Raw genomic sequence first — 20,550 nt, 5'->3', positions numbered from 1 at the left:
AACCAGGGAATTTGCAGCCTCTCGCCGCCTGGACTCGGGGTGGTTCTCCGGTCACCGCGACCCTAAATGGTCCTGGGCAGATGGGTTTTATTTTTGTTTTTGTTTTTTGTATTTATTTATTTATTGAGACGGAATTTTGCTCTTGTCGCCCAGGCTGGAGTGCAATGGCGCGACCTCGCTCACTGAACCTCCGCCTCCTGGGTTCAAGCAATTCTCCTGTCTCAGACTCCCGAGTAGCTGGGATTACAGGCGCCCGCCACCACGCCCAGCTAATTTTTGTATTTTTTAGTAGAGACGGGGTTTCACCATGTTGGCCAGGCTGGTCCTGAACTCCTGACCTCAGGTAATCCAGCAGGTGGAGACGGCCTCTCTCCAGAACTCTGAGTTCTCCCTGTCTCCGGGCACGACCAAGACCCCCAAATCAATGCCAGGAGGAACTCGAGGCCAGGGCGCATCCAGAGTCAGGGGCATTTCCCTTAAGAGAAACATCAAGATTTGGGAAAAGGTGTAGGCATTGAGGCTCAAGTTGGGCAAATTCAGAGGAGGGAGGCAGGAGACACCTTGGCCCTGCCAGGTGCAGAGCAGCCTGCCCTTTTACTCTGGCTATGGAGATAATGTTTAAAACTGCCCCCGGGCCGGGCACGGTGGCTCACGCCTGTAATCCTAGCACTTTGGGAGGCCAGGTGGGTGGATTACGAGGTCCAGGAGTTCAAGACCAGCCTGGCCAACAAGGTGAAACCCCGTCTCTACTAAAAAATACAAAAATTACCTGGGCATGGTGGCAGGCCCCTGTAATCCCAGTTACTCGGGAGGCTGAGGCAGAATTGCTTGAACCCGGGCAGCAGAGGTTGCAGTGACCCGAGATCCACTACTGCACTCCAGCCTGGGTGATAGAGTGAGACTCCGTCTCAAAAAACAAAAACAAAACTGCTCCTGGGGATGGTTGGAGTTGATTCCCAGTGGCTGCAGAAAAATGTTTAATTCAGGAGGGATGCGAGTGTGTGTGTGTGTGTGTGTGTGTGTGTGTGTGTGTAATTTTAATTTTAACGAATTTGATGTTAACAAAGGCATGTACCACCAGGCAGGTTTTCCTAAGGAGAAATGATAGTCTTGAATTTGGTTGGCAGAAGACCCATAACTACAGCATTAGTTAGGAATTTTAATTTTTGAGAGTGCTTGACCTTGTATCAAAAAATTCCTCCAACCTCTTTGGCCAACACACACACATATGCACACACATACATGCCATGTGTTCCAGGCCACATTACAGCCCTAGTAGTGAAATAAAAGCTTTGAACATAAATTTAGATGAGTAGGTTTAAATATGAGTTTTATTGCCTTTGTTTCTGTGAGATGCTCAATCATCTGAGATTTCATCGTTCTCGTCTGCAAGCTATAAGAGTCTAGTTTTGCATTTTTTTTTTTTTTTTGAGAAGGAATTTTGCTCTTGTCGCCCAGGCTGGAGTGCAGTGGCGTGGTCTCAGCTCATTGCAACCTCCACCTCCCGAGTTCAAGCAATTCTCCTGCCTCGGCCTCCCAAGTAGCTGGTATTACAGCGCTGGGCACTACACCTGGCTAATTTTCTATCTGTAGTAGAGATGGGGTTTCACCATGTTGGCCAGGCTGGTCTTGAACTCCTGACCTCAGGTGATCCACCCACCTTGGCCTCCCAAAGTGCTGGGATTACAGGCATGAGCTACCATGCCTGGCCGAGATCTTCTTGTTTTAACTGTGCTGTTTACTTAAAAATACTCCAGACTGTCTCTTAAAAGTAACTTCCCACATTCTACAAGTACGGTAACTCACTTATCCCAGGTACAGGTAAGATTTCCATTTAAAGTCTCTGGAAATTGACCAAATTTCTACAAAATATTGAAAATCACTTAGTGAGTATTGGTAGAGACCATGGAAGTCTGCGGCACTTAAGCCAGGGGTTGCACCCATCTCTCCCCTTCCCAACATGTTGTAGAAGTCTCACTCTAGACATGAAGGGTAGTCTGTGAGGACCAGTAACTCTCATTGCTCCTGTGAGCCCCACTCCTACTCCTTGGCAAGGCAGTTCCACTCCAAGAGGGCCAGAGTAGGCCATGAGGACAGGAAGGACTGGTGGCTTCTATTCCCACTTCCCTAAAGCTCCAACTCTGTGTTAAAGAGGTTCTGCCCTAGTAGGTATGGCAAACCTTCACGACTGGCTGCTTGGGGCCCCTGCGTGAAGGGGTTGACTTTATTTGGAGTAGAACATGGAAAAATCTGGCCTAAGGGCAATGCTGAAAATAGAGGTCACAGTGAAGAGTAATCAGGGAAAGCTGACAGCTCAAGGATACTAACAGAAGCATGCAAGTTAATATATTTAATTTAGAAATCTACCAGAAATTTAAAAATGACATCTAGGGATGGCTGAAGGGCACCCTACCCTTGTGCATATGCACAGTCATCGAGACCACCCACTCATCTCTGGCGATCTGGAAGACTGAATACATGCATAAGGGTGGGCTTGCTCAGAAAAGACCAGAAAGGTTACTGTCTCTGGCTGAATGCACAGTAGACTTGTAAACTCCCTGAACTTAGAGAGCAATCCCCAAGCCACATGAGATCCAACAGACAAAGGTTGAGAATTGAATATACAAATGGATAATGGCCAAACTAAAAGTAAAAGTAGACTTCTGACCTACAACCTGCAGTAACCAGCCCAGAAAGCCAACCTACTATTACAGTAACCAGTCCAGGAAGTCAAGCTGCTATCTGTAGCAAACAGTAGAGGAAGACAAACAATAATACCCCTGTACCGATTGGCTCCAAATGGCCAGCACTTACTAAATATAATAACTCACAATTCCTTAATTTTTGTTCTTGCTTTCAACTAAGGACCAATGAGGGAAAGCCATACATGTACTCCCAACCAATCACATATGATGCCCCTCTTCTAGTTAGCCTGCCCACAGCTTCCCCATGCCACAGCTTCCAGTTAAGGCATACCTAGAACCTTCTCTTTTTTCCACTATAGCGCTTTCCCACTCCTCTGCCTGTTGTGAGTCTCTGCCAAACACAAGTGATGATGGTGGATTCTCTTGGTATAGCAAGTGCTGAATAAATAGCCTTCACTTGTTATCATGTTGGTGGTGGTATGGGTTGAACTGTGTCCCATCTTCTCCCCAAAAAAGATATATTGAACTCCTTATCCCCAGTACCTCAATCTGTGATCATATTTGGAATCAGGGTATTCACAGAGGTAACCAACTTAAAATCAGATCAACAGGCTGGGCCTAGCCCAAGATAACTGGTATCCTCATAAAAGGGGAAATTTGGACACATGGATAGGCACATGCAGAAGGAAGGTGATGTGAAGGCACACAGGGAAAATGGCCATGTGACTGGAGTAATGCATCTACAGGCCAAGGAACACAGGAATGCTGGCAAACACCAGAAGCCAGAAGAAGCACAGAAGCATTTTCTATTTGTCTTTCTAATCTCCTTCTGTTTCTCTGAATATCTTCATTTCTATCTCTGTGTTTTTGTCTGTTTCTCTATTTATCTTTCTGTCCTTCAATCTGTGTTTTCGTTTCTGGCTCTCCGTCAGTGTCTTTGTCTCTCCTCTCTCTCTTGCTCTGCCCTGGCTATTTCCACTGCTCTATTTTTGACTCTCATTTTTGGTCAAGGAAGGATTAGAAGGCAAGGAAGGATTCTCCCCTAGAGCTGTGAGAAAGAGAATGGCTCTGCTGACACCTTGATTTCAAACTTCTAGACACAAAAACATATAATATATACTGCAAGTTTCCATTTATATAAAGATCAAGAACAGGCAGAACTAAAGTGTAGTGGAGATTGACTTTGGTATGACAGCATGAGGAGGTTGCCTCTTACCCACAAGGAAATATGAAACTGGATAAAACTCTAAAACTACCATCTCTGTGCATACAAAGACATACAAAAAGCTGAGAAGTATTTATTGCTGAAAATAATTGATCTTTAGGAAAGAACAGTGCAAATCTATGGCAGGTTCCTGTCACAGCTAACATAGCCTAAGCAGGCACCCTTGGGATTAGCCCTATCCTCCCAGGCCCTGGAAGAAGGAATCTCCACCAGAATCATGAATCCCTAGAGTTGGAAGCTGGAAGTACCAGGGAGTGATATTTGATTGTGGGAAAAGATGGTGAGTGAAGGGTGTGGAAGGAAGACTAAATAAGAGAGATAGAGAAGGAAAAGATTAAGTGACAGGAAGAGAAATAGAGACACAGAAGAAGAGCATCAGAGACAGAAATAGAGCCTCAGGGAGACAGAGAGATTGAGGACACAGCAGAGGAGAGACAGAAATAGAGCCTCAGGGAGACAGAGAGATTGAGGACACAGCAGAGGAGAGACAGAAATAGAGACAGAGACAGAGTGAGAAAGAAAGTGACTAGGAGACACACAGAGACCAAAAATGAGAGTCAGAAATAGAGCAGTGGAAATAGCCATGGCAGAGCAAGAGAGAGAGGAGAGAAAAAGACACTGACGGAGAGCCAGAAACAAAAACACAGATTGAAGGACAGAAAGATAAACAGAGAAATAGACAGAAACACAGAGATAGAAATGAAGATATTCAGAGAAACAGAAGGAGATTAGAAAGACAAATAGTGACAGGGGAAAGAGAGAGGAAGAGACTGAGGGAAAGGGGTACAGTGAGAGAAACTGAGAAGCAAGGACAGGTTCAGGATCTAAAGTCCAGAAAAAGAAACTTACAGCAAAGCCCCTAACCCAGGAGCTGGAGTGGCAGAATTTGAACCAGAATCTGATCAGCAGGGCGAGGGCACCAGCATAAGTCACATTTGTTTGACATTTAACATTCAAAATACCAATATTTACAATGAGAATAATCATCCACTTATATTTCCATAACTCTCTGCAATAAAGCACTTTAAGTTGGGAATAAGGATGTTTGCAGACACATGCCAATTACGTGCGGAACAGGTGCTGAATTCCAATTCCTGGGAGTTTCTTCTTTCAAAACAAGCTGCTTTCTTTTGTTCAGTGAACAAGTATGTCCAGGACTGAGGTGACCATGCAGGGAGTGGAAAGGGTATGAGATTCAGACTTCACCCTTAATCTGGCTCTCCTTTGCCAGCTTGAGCCAGGTCTGTAGCTGCTGGAAGATGTTCTGTGGGGAGGTGGGAAGAATTTGAAAGTCAGATTTCAGCACCAGCAGAAGGAGGGAACATGCAAGTGATTATTCAAATGAGAATGCAAATGATTCAGAGCCTTTTTTCTCTTACCTGGCGCCCTAGGCGGAGGCTGGGGGAGTCTGAGGGCCTCTCAGGTGCCATGTCCAAGCAGTGGGAGCCAGTGCGGATAAGAAGAGTTGATTCTGAGGATCCTAAAGCCTGTGTTACACTTAGCACATGCCAGGGGTCTGTGTCCCCTGGAAAGAAAGGATAGGATGGGGCTAGGTAGATGGGTGCTGGGAGAGGATGAGGCTATGTTGAGCTGGGGCTAGGTGGAGGCTTAGCAGCCAGGTTTTGATAGCATGCTCACCATTAACAAACAGCACTTTGTTAGCCCCAGGGGTCTGGCCACCGTAGTAGGAGTTCGTCTGAGCCACAGCCTGGGCTACTGACAAGGCTGAGAGCCCAAACACCTGCTCACATAGGTCTAGCTGGGAGGGCAGTGCTGGGAGCTGGGAGAAAGGACATCTGGGATTCTCACAGGTGACATCTGTGTAGGGAGATACCTGTAAGTGTGGGTATACAGGCAGCCCACCACTCTCCTTCAATAATCATTTTCAAAGCTTTCCTCAGTGATGACCAGAACATTTCTAATACTCCCTTCGAGGAGTTTACAGTCCTGGCAGACAGACTCACACAGTCCCCTGACAGTGATAGCCCACAGTGATCAGGGCTGTGATGGAAAAAGGCCACAAGGCAGGGATCCCAGAGGAAACATGATGGGCTCAGGGAAAGCATCCTGCAAAGGATAAGACCTTGAGAAATTAGTAGAACTGAGCCAAACAAAGATAGAGAAGGAAGGCATAGTAAATAGAAGAAATAGCACGTGCAAAGGTCTGGAATGCTCGGAGCTCAAATTGTATTATGTCTGCCCTGCTTAAAACCCATAGCTCACTGTGCTTTCAGGGTAAAGATAACTTCTGTAACATCAGATTAATTCATCCCTTCCCTCCCTATTTGTTGACCACCTACCAGGTGCTCAGATAAATGTTGTACAATGTTGGGCACATGGTGGCAACCAAGACAGCTCCAGGCTCTGCTGTCACAGGACTCAGTCCAGAGGGGAAGACAGGCAATAAAAAATGTATTATGACAGGCTGTGTAAAATGCTAAGGAGAACACAGAGCTATCGAAGTCGGAGGTGGCAAGGCTGACTTATCTTGAGGGATCATGGCTTCCTGAGGGAGGCCACCCTATTGAGACTTGAAGATGAATAATCCAAGCAAAGTGAACAGCATGTACAAAGTTCCTAAGATGTTAGGAAGACTAATGTATTAAGAGGGTTAAAATATGTAAAGCCTTATAATAATAACAATAGCAAGAGGTTTATGGAATACTTACTGTAGACCTGCATTATTCTTAGAATGCTACAAATATTACCTCCTTTAGTCCTTGAAACAACCCTATGAGAGAAATATTGCTTGTATTCCCATTTTATAGATGTGGAAACAGGCATAGAGAAGTAAGTCACTTGCCCAAGTTTGCCCAAGATTACGAGTAGAAAATGGAGCTGGAATTTGAACATTTAATTTACCATATGTAGTATTTGGGACATGCTTATACTAAAAAAAAATCTGTTGTATATCTGAAATTCAAATTTAACTGGGCATCCTGTATTGTATCTGGCAACACTACCCTGGGGTCTTTGAGGAGCTGTGGTTTTGAGTACAGGAGGGACAAGGTTATATTTACAAGGATCTCTGTGGATGCTATGAAAAAGTTGGATTGTACAGAGGAAGTGAAAACCATGAGACCAGAGAAGCGGCTGGGAAGGGATCCCGGCAAGAAAGAATGGAGGTTCCCAGCAGGACAGCAGAGGTAGGCATAGAAAGCACAAGGGATGGACTACAGAGTTGTCCATGCAGAGTGAGGAGGACTCAGTAATTGACAGGCTAGCTAGAAAATGGGAAGGAAGCAACTAAAACAAGGCTCAAGTTTCTAGTCTGGTGGATGGGGAAAGGGGGCCATCCCTGGAATGGGGACACAGAGAAAGAATAGGCTGAAGGGAAGATCACTCAAGTGGAGACCTCAGTGTGTGCGTGAGGAGGCATGTGAGGGCCAAGCACATGCATACACTAGTATGGCTTCCACCTTCTCCAGCCCAACATCTGCAGGTTACACAGTGCCTGAGAGCTGGGTCGAAATGAGTCCAGACCACCTGTAAGATGACTTCTCTGGGCATAGTAAAAAGGTTGTTTGAGGGGACAAAGTTAGGGTTAGGCCAGTCACTTACAGAAGCCGAACTCGGTACATGTCTGATACAACCACTGCCGGTCACCCACACCAGACAGTTGAGGTTCTGTGCTCCTCAGCTGTGCCACTGTCTCTGCTCGGGAAAAGCTTAAACACTTCTGGCCCAGGCTGTGCAAGACAATCTAGGGAACAATGTACATACATAAGACATAAATTCCTCCTCTCTTCCCAGCAAGCCAGGGTGCAGAGGCCTATGTCCCCAGAGGTCAAAAGTCAGAAATAGAAGGGTGAGTTCCTGAGTTCTCCTGGGAGTCAGTGGTCAGAGGGGGTGGATGCCTGGGTCCTTGTGAGTTAGAGATCAATGCACTAGAAGACTGAGACCTTATTACCTGTGAGAGCTTGGGCAAGTGATAATCTTTCAGACTTCAGTTTCCTTTTCTGTAAGTGGCGATAATAATAGTGCCTATCTCTTGAGAACTTAATGAAATAATATATGTGAAGCACTTTATACAGCACTTGGTCCAGACAGTGCTGGAAAAGCGACAGCTGGATTGCAGTTGTGGATTTAGAGGCTGCAGTCCCAGGTACCTAGGAGAACCCTATCCCCAGAGATAACATTTTTTCATTCATTCTAAAAATACTAAGTGAGAATTTGCCATGTGCCAGGCACTCCTGCAGGCCCCCCAAAAGAGAACAGGACAGGATAGGCAAAATAGGTAATAATCGCAGTCTCTAACATTCGCACACTGTGTGCCAGGCTCCCAGCTGATTGCTCTACATGACCCGCCTCATTTCATCTTCCCATCGGCCCTGTGAAGTGTTATCCCCATTTTACAGATGAGAAAACGAAGTTTCAGAGAAGGTTCTCGCTTGCCCAAGATCACACAACGGAAGTGGGGCAGGAATCTTTGTCCGCTAACTCCTCCCAGCTGTGCCAGGGAGTGCTCACCTGCACCGCCCGACGAAGCCCGCAGTAGGGCGTGGAGTGGCTGCGGTTGCCCCCGCCCCCGAGGAGAAGTCCGCAGAGCTGTCGCACGCTTAGCGGCGCTCCCGTCTGCCCATCATACTGCACTACACCTCCCACCAGTGCCTGCAGCGCCCCCAACAGCTCCGCCTGGTTTTCAGCGCGGCCCAGGGGCCCGCAAGCGCTCAGCTCCGTCCGCAATGCTGCTTGAGCCGCCCCACCCGAGCGCAGCCGCCGCTCCACTTCAGCGAAGGCGACGGACACCGCCGCCCGGCACTGTGGGAAGCAAGAGGCGATGTCCGCCAAGACTTAGGCTGGGCCTCGGCTTTCCCTACCCAGGACCTGCGTCCTCCTTGGGTTCCCCACTTTCCCCTAGCGGGACTCAGAGGGTGCAGACCTAGCTCTTGGCCCAGGCCCCCGCCCCCAGGCCCCCGCCCCCAATCCCCTGCCTCGCAGCCCTCCTTCTCGGGTCTTCCCTGCAGGCCCCGTCCTCCATTGTGGCCCCGCCCCACCTTGAGCCTCACCTCCGGATAGGATTGTCCCTGCCCAAACCCCGCCCTCTCTGGGGAGCGCCTCTTTTCCTGGTGCCCCTCCTCTTCGTCAGCTCCCGCCTTCTTCCAAAACCTGCGTATTCCCCCGAGCTCCGACCTTCCTTAGACCCCGCCACGTTGCAGGTTTCGCCCTTCTCTGGCCTCCTCTTCCCTGGCATCCGAGGCCTCTTTTCCCTCCCAGTCCCCCTCGGACTAGGCCCCACCTCCTACCTCCAGGGACCCGCCGATCGCGGTGCTCATTAGGCTTCGGGATACCACCTGTGGGCGGACCGCAGAGGAAGGTATCCGGAAGTGTCAAGGGACTCCGCCCGCTGGGACCCCTCCCCGTCCCGCACCTGCTGCCCGCCATCCTTACGTCATTATACTCGGAGAAATCCAGCACGGCCCGCACCGGGGCGGAGGAGGCGACCGACGCGAAAATGAGATGGGGGAACTAAGGGAGGAGACGCCGTCAGCCTGCGGGCTGAGGGGTTGGAATCGCATATCTTTCTGCCTCTGTGTCACTTACTCGCTGTGTAATCTCGGGCTCTTGTGAGGACAGCTTGTGCAAAATTCTTTGGGCGCGGGAGGAAGGTAGGGGCGTGGTGGGAGGGTATTCCTATTATCTGAGACTGGGGCCCTGGAGTCCGAGTTCCCTCCCCCCAGCCCACCCGGAGGAGTCGCAGGACCTTCAGCCGGGCCCAGGCGGCCAAGGAGCCGGCATAGGAGCCTCCGAAGCAGATCCAGGGGCTGGAGGAGGAGATGTTAAAGAGGCGGGAAAGTGCCAGGCGGGCAGAGACCACATCAGCCAGCCTAGGGTCAAAGGGGGGACTCGGTCGGTCCTCATCGCTGGGAATCCCTGAAGATTTCCCCATTCTGGGGGAAACCCGGATCCAGAGACATGAATGGGTGAATCTGGCCAGAAACCAGGGCCGTTTTCTCATGACGTGTTTCCAAGTGTTCTCCAAGCCACATACACTTCCCAGAACATGTGTGCCTAGGCCAAGGGAGACCCTGTCCTCGTCCACTTTCTAGAAAGCCACCACCCTCTTTCCCTTCTCGTTTTAGGTAGGAGAGGAAAAATTTCCAAGTCAGTTTAGATGAAAACCTGACAAATGTAGGGAAGGGTTGAGGGCACTCAAGGAGGGCTACTAAGAGGAGAAGGAGGGGTCCTAACCTGATGAGTTGCAAGGTATTGGGAGAGAGAACAGACACAAAGAGAAATGGAGAGTGAAGTTTGGATATGTCTAACATCCTCTTTCTCCTCCCAAGGGCTTTCTTTCTTCCCTAACCTTTCTGAATGGCTTGCAGTTGGTACCATCCTGTTGCAGTTAGAAAACCGTTTCGCTTGTAGAAAAGATTAAGATGCAGAGAGACAGAGATGGAGACAAAGAGGCACAGATGTAGATACAGAGACGGAGAAAATGAGACAGGCAAACAGACTGTTACAGACACAGACAGAGATACCAATGAGGAAAGAAAAAGCTAAGTTCTGTAAGAATAAAGCAGATGAAAGAAACAAAAAGCAGGTGAAGTAAAGTTGGAAAAATGGTGGCGGTCGTTAATAGGAGTGAGATGCACTGAAGGAGGCTGGGGTGAGAGGCATAAAAACATCTAGGGGAAGGCCACGCCATGCAGAGGGATGAGTTCAAAGGCTCAAGGCAGGAATGTGCGTGTAAGTCTGGAGGACAGTGAGGACTTCAATGTAGCTGGAGCCCAGTGAAAGTGAGAGAGTATAGGTCAGAGTTAACTAGAGGCCAAAACCCACTGGACTCCATGGCGACTGTAAAAGCTTTGACTTTACTCTGAAGTCAAATACAGTCAAAATTGCTTTACTTCTGAAGCAATACAGAAGATGTCTGAGGGACTTAAGCCAGGGAGGATCATGTCCTGGTTTATGCTCTAACAGAATTACTCTGATTTCCACCTGGAAGTCAAGGGCAGAGCAGGAAAAATGGTGAGAATGCTGTGGCCGTAATCCAGGTAAGGAATGCTGGTGGTCTGCACAGTGATACAGTGGCTTACTTCAGACAGAGACGCAGAAATAGAAAGAACACAGGATAAGAGAAAGACAGATAGGGAGAGTCAGAGACCCAGAAATGGAAAGAGAAAAAACAAGACCCTATGAAACACAGAAGAAAACAGAGGGAACCAGAGACTCAGAGGTTGACTTCAGACAGTGGAGGAGAGAGACACAGATGCAGAGATGCCAAAGCACAGACATTCCTGTCCTTTGACCATAAACACTTTCCCTTCCTCCACTCACGCAAGGCGGCTGGACAAGAAGCGGAGCTGGGCCATTTCCAGGCCTCCAGCAGGTATACTCAGGCCATAAAATCTGTGTTCCAGGCTTATCACCAGGGCGCCCCAGGCTGGGGCCAAGGCTGCGGGATGGCCTGTGAAGAGTGTATGGGTGGGGGGTGGGGAGGTGAGATGCAAGTTGAGTTTAAGCCCTTTCACTCCTCAGGTCTCACAGCATTGCAATATGCAGCTCCCCTTCCTGGTCCCCACCAGCATCCCAACTCCTTTCCCCCAACATTGCCTCTTACCTCTCATCACTGAGCCAGGCCCAAGGCTGCCCTCACCCCCTAGATGCAGGAATATGGGTCCATCCTGGCCAACCCAATGTTGGTCATTCACCCAGTAACGCTGAGAGGTGGGATGGGGAAGAAGAAATGGCACTGTGAGAGTCCTGACTTATTCTCAATTCCTCATTTGTTCCAGTCTCTCTTCCTAATGGATCTTTCCTTATGTACTTAACAGTGTCTGAAATGAGCTTGTTTATTTACTTGCTCACTTTTCCCCTGTTCATCTCCTCATCTAGAATGCAAAATATACAAAAGCAAATTTTTGACCTGGTTTTTCACTCTTATATCCCCAGAACTGAGGGAGTGGCTCTCACATTGAAGGAACTTGCTATTTCTTGAAGTAATAATTGTAAAATAAGAAATAAATGCAGATGGATTTAGGAATAAGATCCAAGTGGGATGATATTTGGAGACTAAATACAGAGGAAGCACTGAAAAATGGCGAATTTGTTCCTTCTTTCGATAGATATCTTTGAGTGCCTGTTGTGAGCTAGGTCTGATTCCAAAGCTGGTTCAAATTTCTGCTACCTACTGAGACCTGGTGGTAGGTTTTGTGTCCAGTCTGGACAGGGACAAGGGGGTAGGGAGGAGCAGTGAATGTGAATGACAGAGAGAAAGAAATGGTGAAGGGCAAGATCTGAGGGACAAAACGAGTGGGACCCCGAGGAGAGGAGAGAGTAAGGCCAAATCTACAAAGGGCAGGAAAAGGGATACTGACAGCAAGCATAACATGAGATTCAAGCAGAGGGATGGGGAGAACTGAGGTGTGGAGAGAGAAAAAAGTGCAGACTGAGGAAGAGATGAGGGAGACTGAGGAGAGGGCAGGATGGTTAGTGGACTCCCCGTCTCCCGGCCTCACCTGTAGGAAGGATCGTCTGTCGGACACGTTGAAGGGGTCCAGCAGTTGCTCCAGCCACCCCACTTTTGGGAGGGCTGCAGCACCTGGCCCCAGGCTCAGGCCCAGGCCCTGGGCAGAGCTCTCCTGAAACTGCTGAATGTGCTCACCCAGGCGCCTAAGAAGGGAGGCTGTGGGACATGGAGGGAAGGAAGTCAGGCTGGCCCCCTTAGGATGCCCTGCTTGACCCTCAGCCTCCTCTTACCTGGAGCCAAGAGTCCCCAGAGGGAAACCAAGAGCAGAGGGCCCAGCCACTGGGCAAGCCAGACGGCCATGGTGTTCGGGACTCTGTTCTCCCCCAGGAGGACCTTTATCTTATCCTCAGCAGCCGGGCCTTAAATCCATCACCTTTCAGCAGAGGCTCAGGTTTCTTTCCTTTCCTGGCAGGTCAAGCGTCTGTAGGAACTGCTAAAGCGGGGCAGGGACGCCAGAGTCTGTACACAGAGGCTGCTGATGCAGCATCGGAACTCCCAGTTTCTTCTCTCTGGGCCTCTCAGTCTGTTCTTCCCTCAGCTCTCAGTAGCCCTCGCTGTCTCAGTCTCCTCCTCTCCGCTCTTCGGTCTACCTTCTCTTTATCTCAGATTCCTCCTTTGCATGCCTTATTGTCCTTCAACCTCTGTCTCTCCCCACCTCAGCACCTCCTCTGGAACCCCAGTTGCCCACTTATTCTCAGTCTTTTCTTTCTGCCCCTCAGCATATCTTCAGTACCCCTCAGTTGTTCCCACACTCAGTCTTTCCGTCTCTTTTTTCTCAGTCCCCCATCTCTTTTTCAGTCTTTCTCTCCATACTCATCTCTTTGTCCCCCAATCTCACCTTGTCTATTTTCCAGCCCCCTCACTTTCTGCTCTGCTTCACTGTCCCGAGCTTCTCTGACCCACAATCTCACACTGTCCATAGACTCCTTACAGTTCTTTGAACATACCAGGCTTGCTTCTGCCTTAGGGTTCTTATTCTTGTTGTTCCCACCCTATGGATTGTGATTTCCCTATATACCCACGTGGTTTGCTCCCTCACTTCAACTGGATCTTTATTCAAAGGTCATTCATTCAGAAAGGTCTTCCATGGTCAGCTTTTTAAAAATTGCCAAACCTATGGCCCTCTTCTATTCCTTTTCAAACTTTATTCCTAATTCTTTTTCATGGGACTTATCACTATGAGAAATATTGTACATTTAAAAAGTTATTCCCATAAATTTAAAAAATATATCCAGAATCTGATGACTTCTCACTACCTTCAGTGCTACCACTGCTGAGCCACCATCATCTCTGACTTGGGATATCATGGAAGGCTTTTAGCTGGTCACCCTGTTTCTGCCTCATGATTTATTCTACACTCAGCAGACAGAGAGACAGAATTAAATATTAGCCCAATCATTCACAATCATTCACTCCCTGGTTTAGAACACTTCCCTGATGCCCCATCTTACTCAAAGTAAATCTAAAGTTTTGAAAACAGTTTTTAAAACTCTGTATGACCTGGCCCCCTGTTGTATATACTGTCATGATTTCATCTCCTACCCCTCCTGGGTTCACTGCTCCAACTGCATTGGACTATTTCATATTTCACAAGACTCACTCCTTCCTTAGAATTTTTGCTCTCCTTAGGATGCTTTTCCTCCAAATATCTGCAAGTCTTATTTTATCACTTCCTATAGTTCCCCATTCATATATTTTATCTTACCAAATGGGTTTTACCTGACCACCCTTATAAATGGCACAACACCTGAGACCCTGTCCCCTGATCCTTCTGTTGTCACTCCCTGATAGTGATGACATTTTATTGCACTTCTCTCCCAAACCATTCCCCAGGAAGTAAGCTTATTCTGGGAAGCAATTTTGTCTGTTTTGTTCACTGGTGTACCCATAACACCCAAACTACTTCAAGGCACTTGAAAGGTTCTCAATGAATATGCAGTGAGCAAAAGGCTATATGGATAAATTGATTAATTAATGAATTAGTTTTCTGCTCAGGAAAGAATTCCCTAAGAATGTGACCTAAGAGTTGAGGCAAGGGAGTGAGTGGGGAGGGAGGAAGGCAGGGAAAAAAATACTTGAGGTAAGAATGAGGAGCCAGGGGGAGCATGAGGTTATCTGGAGTCAGAGGGTTTCTGGCCCAAGAAAGAGCAGGTGCAAAGACTCTGAGTCACAAACCTGCTTGGCACCACCAAGGAACATCAACAGTTAGTGGGCTGGAAAGTCAATGAAGGAATTTGAATTAGATGAGAAGAGAGAAGTAATCAGAGATTCAACCCTGCTGGCAAGCCATAGAAAGGGCTTTGGCTTTTATTTAAAGACTGATATATGGCCGGGCGCAGTTGCTCACGCTTGTAATCCCAGCACTTTGGGAGGCCGAGGCAGCTGGATCACAAGGTCATGAGTTCGAGACCAGCCTGGCCAACATGGTGAAACCCTGTCTCTAGTACAATTACAAAAATTAGCTGGGCATGGTGGGGAGGCGCCTGTAATCCCAGCTACTCAGGAGGCTGAGGCAGGAGGATCGCTTCAACCCGGGAGGTGGAGCTTGCAGTGAGCCGAGATCATGCCACTGCACTCTAGCCTGGGCAACAGAGCTAGACTCCATCTCAAAAAAAAAAAAAAAGGACTGATATGTTGCCGTAAGGGTCTTTTAAAACCTTAATACATAAGTGAATTTAAAGTTGGGTGTGGTGGTGCATGCCTGTATTCTCAGCTACTTGGGAGGCTGGGACGAGAGGGCTGGGAGTTCAAAGCTGCAGTACACTGTGATCGAGCCTGTGAATAGCCACTGCACTCCATATTGGGCAACACAGTAAGAACCTATATTTAAAAAAATGTATTAATAAATTTCTAAATTTATTTTTCGATAAATACGAATTTACTTAGTTGTTTTAATTGCTAGACTGGAAAGACAGGGATGTTTATCCCAACTCAATAATAAGACAAATAGCACAATTGGAAATGGAAAAAGGGTTTGAACAGGGATTTCTCCAAAGAAAATACACCAATGGCCAATAAGCACATGACAAGATGCTCAACATCATTAGTCGTTACTAAAATGCAATTATTATTTATTTATTTATTTATTTTTGGAGACAGAGTCTTGCTCTGTCACCCAGGCTGGAATGCAGTGGCATGATCTTGGCTCACTAAAACCTCTGCCTCCTGGGTTCAAGTGATTCTCCTGCCTCAGCCTCCCAAGCAGCTGGAATTACAGGTGCACGCCACCATGCCCGGCTATTTTGTATTTTTAGTAGAGATGGGGTTTCACCATGTTGGCCAGGCTGGTCTCGATCTCCTGACCTCAAGAGATCCACCCACCTCGGCCTCCCAAAGTGCTGCGATTACAGGCGTGAGCCACTGCACCCGGCCACTAAAATGCAAATTAAAACTATGAGATAATCCTTCATATTGACAAAAATGGCTCTGATAAAGATAGGCAATACAAGCATTGGAAATGTAAAAGGAAACAGCCACTGTAGAAGACTCTTGAACTCTTTTTTTAAAAAAAATCACTTTTGTTAGGTATAATTTACATACCATAATACTCACCTGTTTTTAAGTGTAAATTTTAATTTTTTAAGTAGATTTACAGATTTGTTTAACTATCAGCAGAATCCAGTTTTAGAACATTTTCAGTAACCCCCAAAAAGTCTCTTCATGCCTATTTGCAGTGAATTCCCATTTCTATTCCTAGCCATAGACAACCATTAATCTATTTTCTCTATATATTTATTTTCCTTTTTTGAACATTCCATATAAAAGGAATTCTACAATACATGCTTTTTTATGTCTGGCTTCTTCCACTTAGCATAATGTTTTTGAGGTTCATCCATGTTATAGCAGGTATCAGCATTTCATTTCCTTTTATGGCTGAATAATATTCTGTTTTATGGATATACTATGTTTGAGCTATCTATTAATTGGTTAATGTGCATTTGGTTTATTTCCTCTTTTTGCTATTATGGCTAATGCCACTATGAACATTTGTGTACTAGTCTTTTTGTTGAGATACATTTTCATTTCTCTTGGGTAGATACCTAGATGTGGAATTACCAGAGCATATATTAAAATCAAATTTAACTTTTAAAGAAATTGAACTGAACTGTTTTCCAAAGTGGCTATACCATTTGTTCATGTAATTTCTTAGACTCCAGAAACCTGAACCAAACAGGTAGAAAGTCTCCAATTTCGAACATGAACACGCTGGAAAAGTGAGAACTGAAATACGCCAGGAAAAATCATTGAATAGAGAGGACCAGAGGCTGCCAGATTATCCCTTCAGGCATGAAACTGAATCTTTTTATTGTGGGCAGTGGTGCCTGCTGCCTGAAGTTCAGCGGGTCAGACCCCTGGTGAGCATAGACATGATGTCCTTCAGGAGGGTCAGAAATTTCCGTGGATTACGCAGTCAGAAGCTGCAGGTTTGAAAACGTCTGCATCCTTTGTCTACTCCATGAGTAAGATTTAAAACCAAGTTTGTTTGTTTTAATCGAAAATAGATTATTCTTTTTATTGAGGCAGCGGTGGAAGGTGGGAAGGGACTTCTTTCCGGTCTAAGATTATCTACGAGAAGAATGTTGATGAAGTTAATGTTTTCGAAGCAAAGACAAGTCAGTGGAATGATTGGTAGCTTAGTTGGGCTTGAGTGTGGTTCTAGTGCCCAAAAAATTGTGGGTTTGCTTCCAGTACCCGTAACTTCTCTATGGTTTTTGTTCCTCTGAACTGTTCTTAGCAGAAGTCATCTCAATTTGAGCAGTAAAACAAGGGATAAATTATGATGCTCTAGGAAGCTTTAAATCCATCCCCTAGATTGTTTTGCCTTTTTAAACCATTCGCAGCCCAACAGATTCATGATCATCCGCAGGCAGGACACTAGGGCGCTCACTTATTTCAATCCCCCGCGCCCCATCCAGCGCGCTTTCATGAACTTCAATCAACCGTTATAAACAAATTGCGAAATCCACCTGATAACTAAGGGCATCTTTTGACTTGTGTGAGCGAGTTTCCACGTGATCTTGATTTCCTCTCAGCCCTTCACTCTGTCTCAACAGTCTGGACTTCCTGGCGCTACACAGAGAAAGGAGACCCATCTGTTTAAAGTGACACTGTCCAAAAGATATTTCCCATATCTTCCCTCCATCCTTGCCTTTTCCTTTGGGAGTTTAACTTTTTTCAGAGATCTCCTGCCCTCTTCTTGGGGCCACTTTCTTAGTCACTCCCTTTTGCTATGAAGCTGTTGCCTTCTTCTCCAGAACCTCAGGCACTAGTGGAAGGAATTTGAATTCAAGAAACTCCTGGTTATCTCGCTGTTTCTGGTCTGCATCTTTCTAGTGCCTACAAGTGACCTGAAAAGGAATCAAGACTCCCCAAAATGAACCTTGGAACTCTCATGACGTCTCTGCTAGGTTAGCTTCTGTCTGGGAGAGACTGTGAGGTTGAGACAGGTCCAGGTGTGCAGGTGGTAATGACGGGTAGCGTACTGGGGCCGTGGAGTGAATGCCCAGTGAGGATAGAATAGGTCTTTAAATGCCTTTCTGTTCTGAGTCAGTCATATGTTTGTTTCAGGTCTATGCTGTATATGTGAAAATTTCATTATTGATTAATCTGGTTTTTTAAAAATATAGTTGACTCGCCAGGCGTGGTGGCTCGTGCCTTTAATCCCAGCACTTTGGGAGGCCGAGGTGGGTAGATCACGAGGTCAAGAGATCGAGACCATCTTGGCCAACATGGTGAAACCCCGTCTCTACTAAAAATACAAAAAATAGCTGGGCGTGGTGGTGTGCGCCTGTAGTCCCAGCTACTCGGGAGGCTGAGGCAGGAGAATTACTTGAACCCGGGAGGCGGAGATTGCAGTGAGCCGAGATCATGCAACTGCACTCCAGTCTGGCGATAGAGTGAGACTACATCTCAAAAAAAAAATTATATATATATAGTCCCAAATCAACTGACATGCATTACTGTCCTTTTTCTTTTAAAATGTTTAGCTAGAAGTGAGCTCCATTTTCTTGCTTCTAACTGAAACTTATTTTCATGGCAGGGCAGACGCTCACAAAGGTGCTCAGAAGTAAGACTTTTGTTTTTTTCTCACAAATTCGAAATGATTTGGGATATCATGAAAAGCCTTTTCACATAACACTGTATATGTGCCGGGTCCGACCCGCAGACCCTGACTGAACATCGGATGAAAAAATGCACTCAGACACAGATATCCAATGAAAGAGCAGGCTAGGGGACCGGGCGTTCACAGAAGGAGTTGTTGCATCCTGCTTGCACACACAGAGGAGGGTGTTCTAAAGATTACGCAGCCCGGCCCTGACAAGCTGGCCCTGCGGGCATTTATTCAGTACAGATTTAATGGCAAAGGCTTTGAGTCAACACACTTGTGGCTAATTAATATGGTCACCCTCCCTGGAGAGAGCAGTCCTGCGGGTGATTAAAGGCCAGGGTTGGAGGCCTAAGTAAACTAACTTATCTAGATCAGTTTCTTTACATCTCCTTGTTATTTGCTTTATACTATTAGCTCAAGGTAAGAGGATCAGGCTGCCTTCAGCCATAAGCCTTTCCTAAAGCTTTTACAAAACCTCCTGGCGTTCCAAGAAGGTTTGCGTTTTTCCTATAATTTTCTCTTATAACTTCTCCCACCACCCTGACCGAAATCCTACATATATGTAGTTCATATAGCAGGTTTCTTTTACCCTGTTAATGCGCATGCTTAATATATTTCCTAGTGTTACTTAGAGTTTAGTTACATCTGTCCCGCTCTCTCCACTTCCTAGTGTTACTCGGAGTTTAGTTACATCTGTCCCGTTCTCTCCACTGATTACAAAGGCACAAATTCAAACATGTTTCAATTCTGATTTCCAAAGGCAATAACGGGGTGACTTTCATATGCCTTGGCTACTTATTAACCAAGTGCCATGCTGAAATTACTTAAACACTCAATAATACCTGTCCTTAAGGAGTATGGGTACCACAAAGTAGTGGGACATGATAGATGGTGAGTATCTTTTCAGAGAATGAGGTCCAGTGGTCTACTGCAGCAGTTATCAAATTAGGGTAATTTTACCCTTGGGAACACAAGAGGACCTAATTTTAAAAAGTGCAAGATCCGGCCGGGCACGGTGGCTCACGCCTGTAATCCCAGCACTTTGGGAGGCCGAGGCGGGAGGATCACAAGGCCAGGAGTTCGAGATCAGCCTGACGAACATGGTGAAACCTCATCTCTACAAAAAATACAAAAAAAAATTTAACCAGGCGTGGTAGGGCACGCCTGTAATCCCAGCTACTCAGGAGGTTGAGGCAGGAGAATTGCTTGAACCCGAGAGGCGGAAGATGCAGTGAGCCGAGATGGCACCACTGCGCTATCATCAACCACCATATAGATTTTTTTCTAAAATTGATCTGTCTGAGAACACTCCTGATATCAAGGTGTGCATTTTCTCAATGGCCTTTCTTATATTCAAAAACAAAACAAACAACAACAAAAACAAACAAACAAAAAAAACCCCGTGTTTCTCTCACTCTTCTCAGTATGACCAAGGTTCTTTAGCTCAAAGTGCAAAACACTCTGGGCTTCAACACAGGGACGATTGGAAAGACCTGGGTGGGAAGAGTCTTTCCCGGGTAATTGAATTGTTCTAATTGCTAATTAACTATCCTTTAGCAAGTCAGGAAGTTTCCAATTATTTGGTTTAAACAAATTAAGGGAGAATCTAGTCAAGTTCTCAACTAGCATAGAGTGTAAAATGTAATTATTTATTGTGGGTTACTATGTGATTTTTGGCAAATAACTTACTGTTAAATAATTCTGAGACATTTGTGTAACAAAATCTGATCTATTTTCATTTATTTGTATACTAAAATGCATTTTCTCAGTAGTTATAAATTGGGCATAAAACTAATATTGAAATGACTTATCATGGCAATGTGTACATTTATTTATCAACAATTACACGAACTAATTATAAAAGCCCAATTGTGTAATTTCGATAAATATCCAATTACTTTCACCTTTATACTCACTGATTAGTTTCCAAATTCATAATATTTTTATTGTTATGCTTGATTGTATATAAGTAATAATTTTAATGATAATTCAATGCAGAGGAACTCATAAAAATGAAAGCCGGCCAGGCGCAGTGGCTCACGCCTGTAATCCCAGCACTTTGGGAGGCTGAGGCGGGTGGATCACGAGGTCAGGAGTT

General features: G+C 46.1%; 1 protein-coding gene across 6 annotated transcripts, besides 6 other annotated features; it reads right to left on the bottom strand.

Moving 5' to 3' along the window:
- Positions 1-3,760: 3,760 nt before the first annotated feature.
- On the bottom strand, positions 3,761-12,680 carry PRSS16 (serine protease 16). 6 transcript variants are annotated; one of them, NM_005865.4, is made up of 12 exons: positions 12,574-12,680; positions 12,333-12,499; positions 11,435-11,534; positions 11,152-11,281; positions 9,575-9,698; positions 9,262-9,339; positions 9,117-9,164; positions 8,341-8,631; positions 7,432-7,573; positions 5,509-5,688; positions 5,250-5,395; positions 3,761-5,134 (listed from the first exon to the last, which is right to left on the bottom strand). In NM_005865.4, exons 1-12 carry the CDS (start codon positions 12,641-12,643, stop codon positions 5,066-5,068), a joined length of 1,545 nt encoding a protein of 514 aa, NP_005856.1. In that variant the 5' UTR covers positions 12,644-12,680; the 3' UTR covers positions 3,761-5,065. The 6 variants fall into 6 exon arrangements, with proteins under 6 accessions (NP_005856.1, XP_016865651.1, XP_016865652.1 ...); XM_017010162.3 differs by lacking the exon at positions 5,509-5,688; XM_017010163.3 differs by lacking the exon at positions 8,341-8,631.
- Positions 8,079-8,599: an enhancer, noted in NCBI's record as "H3K27ac hESC enhancer chr6:27219561-27220081 (GRCh37/hg19 assembly coordinates)". NCBI's record gives its function as "activates a minimal SCP1, AML or CMV promoter by ChIP-STARR-seq in primed H9 embryonic stem cells {active_cell/tissue: H9 hESC(primed)}" and the evidence as "EXISTENCE:reporter gene assay evidence [ECO:0000049][PMID:30033119]".
- Positions 8,100-8,299: an enhancer, noted in NCBI's record as "active region_24281". NCBI's record gives its function as "activates an Ori minimal core promoter by ATAC-STARR-seq in GM12878 lymphoblastoid cells {active_cell/tissue: GM12878}" and the evidence as "EXISTENCE:reporter gene assay evidence [ECO:0000049][PMID:35858748]".
- Positions 8,320-8,489: an enhancer, noted in NCBI's record as "active region_24280". NCBI's record gives its function as "activates an Ori minimal core promoter by ATAC-STARR-seq in GM12878 lymphoblastoid cells {active_cell/tissue: GM12878}" and the evidence as "EXISTENCE:reporter gene assay evidence [ECO:0000049][PMID:35858748]".
- Positions 8,870-9,239: an enhancer, noted in NCBI's record as "active region_24279". NCBI's record gives its function as "activates an Ori minimal core promoter by ATAC-STARR-seq in GM12878 lymphoblastoid cells {active_cell/tissue: GM12878}" and the evidence as "EXISTENCE:reporter gene assay evidence [ECO:0000049][PMID:35858748]".
- Positions 9,380-9,449: an enhancer, noted in NCBI's record as "active region_24278". NCBI's record gives its function as "activates an Ori minimal core promoter by ATAC-STARR-seq in GM12878 lymphoblastoid cells {active_cell/tissue: GM12878}" and the evidence as "EXISTENCE:reporter gene assay evidence [ECO:0000049][PMID:35858748]".
- Positions 9,580-9,629: an enhancer, noted in NCBI's record as "active region_24277". NCBI's record gives its function as "activates an Ori minimal core promoter by ATAC-STARR-seq in GM12878 lymphoblastoid cells {active_cell/tissue: GM12878}" and the evidence as "EXISTENCE:reporter gene assay evidence [ECO:0000049][PMID:35858748]".
- Positions 12,681-20,550: the final 7,870 nt, after the last annotated feature.

Source organism: Homo sapiens, chromosome 6, assembly GCF_000001405.40.
Source record: "Homo sapiens chromosome 6, GRCh38.p14 Primary Assembly".
In the NCBI taxonomy this organism is placed as follows: domain Eukaryota; kingdom Metazoa; phylum Chordata; class Mammalia; order Primates; family Hominidae; genus Homo; species Homo sapiens.
This window is presented reverse-complemented; position numbering and strand designations above follow the sequence as displayed.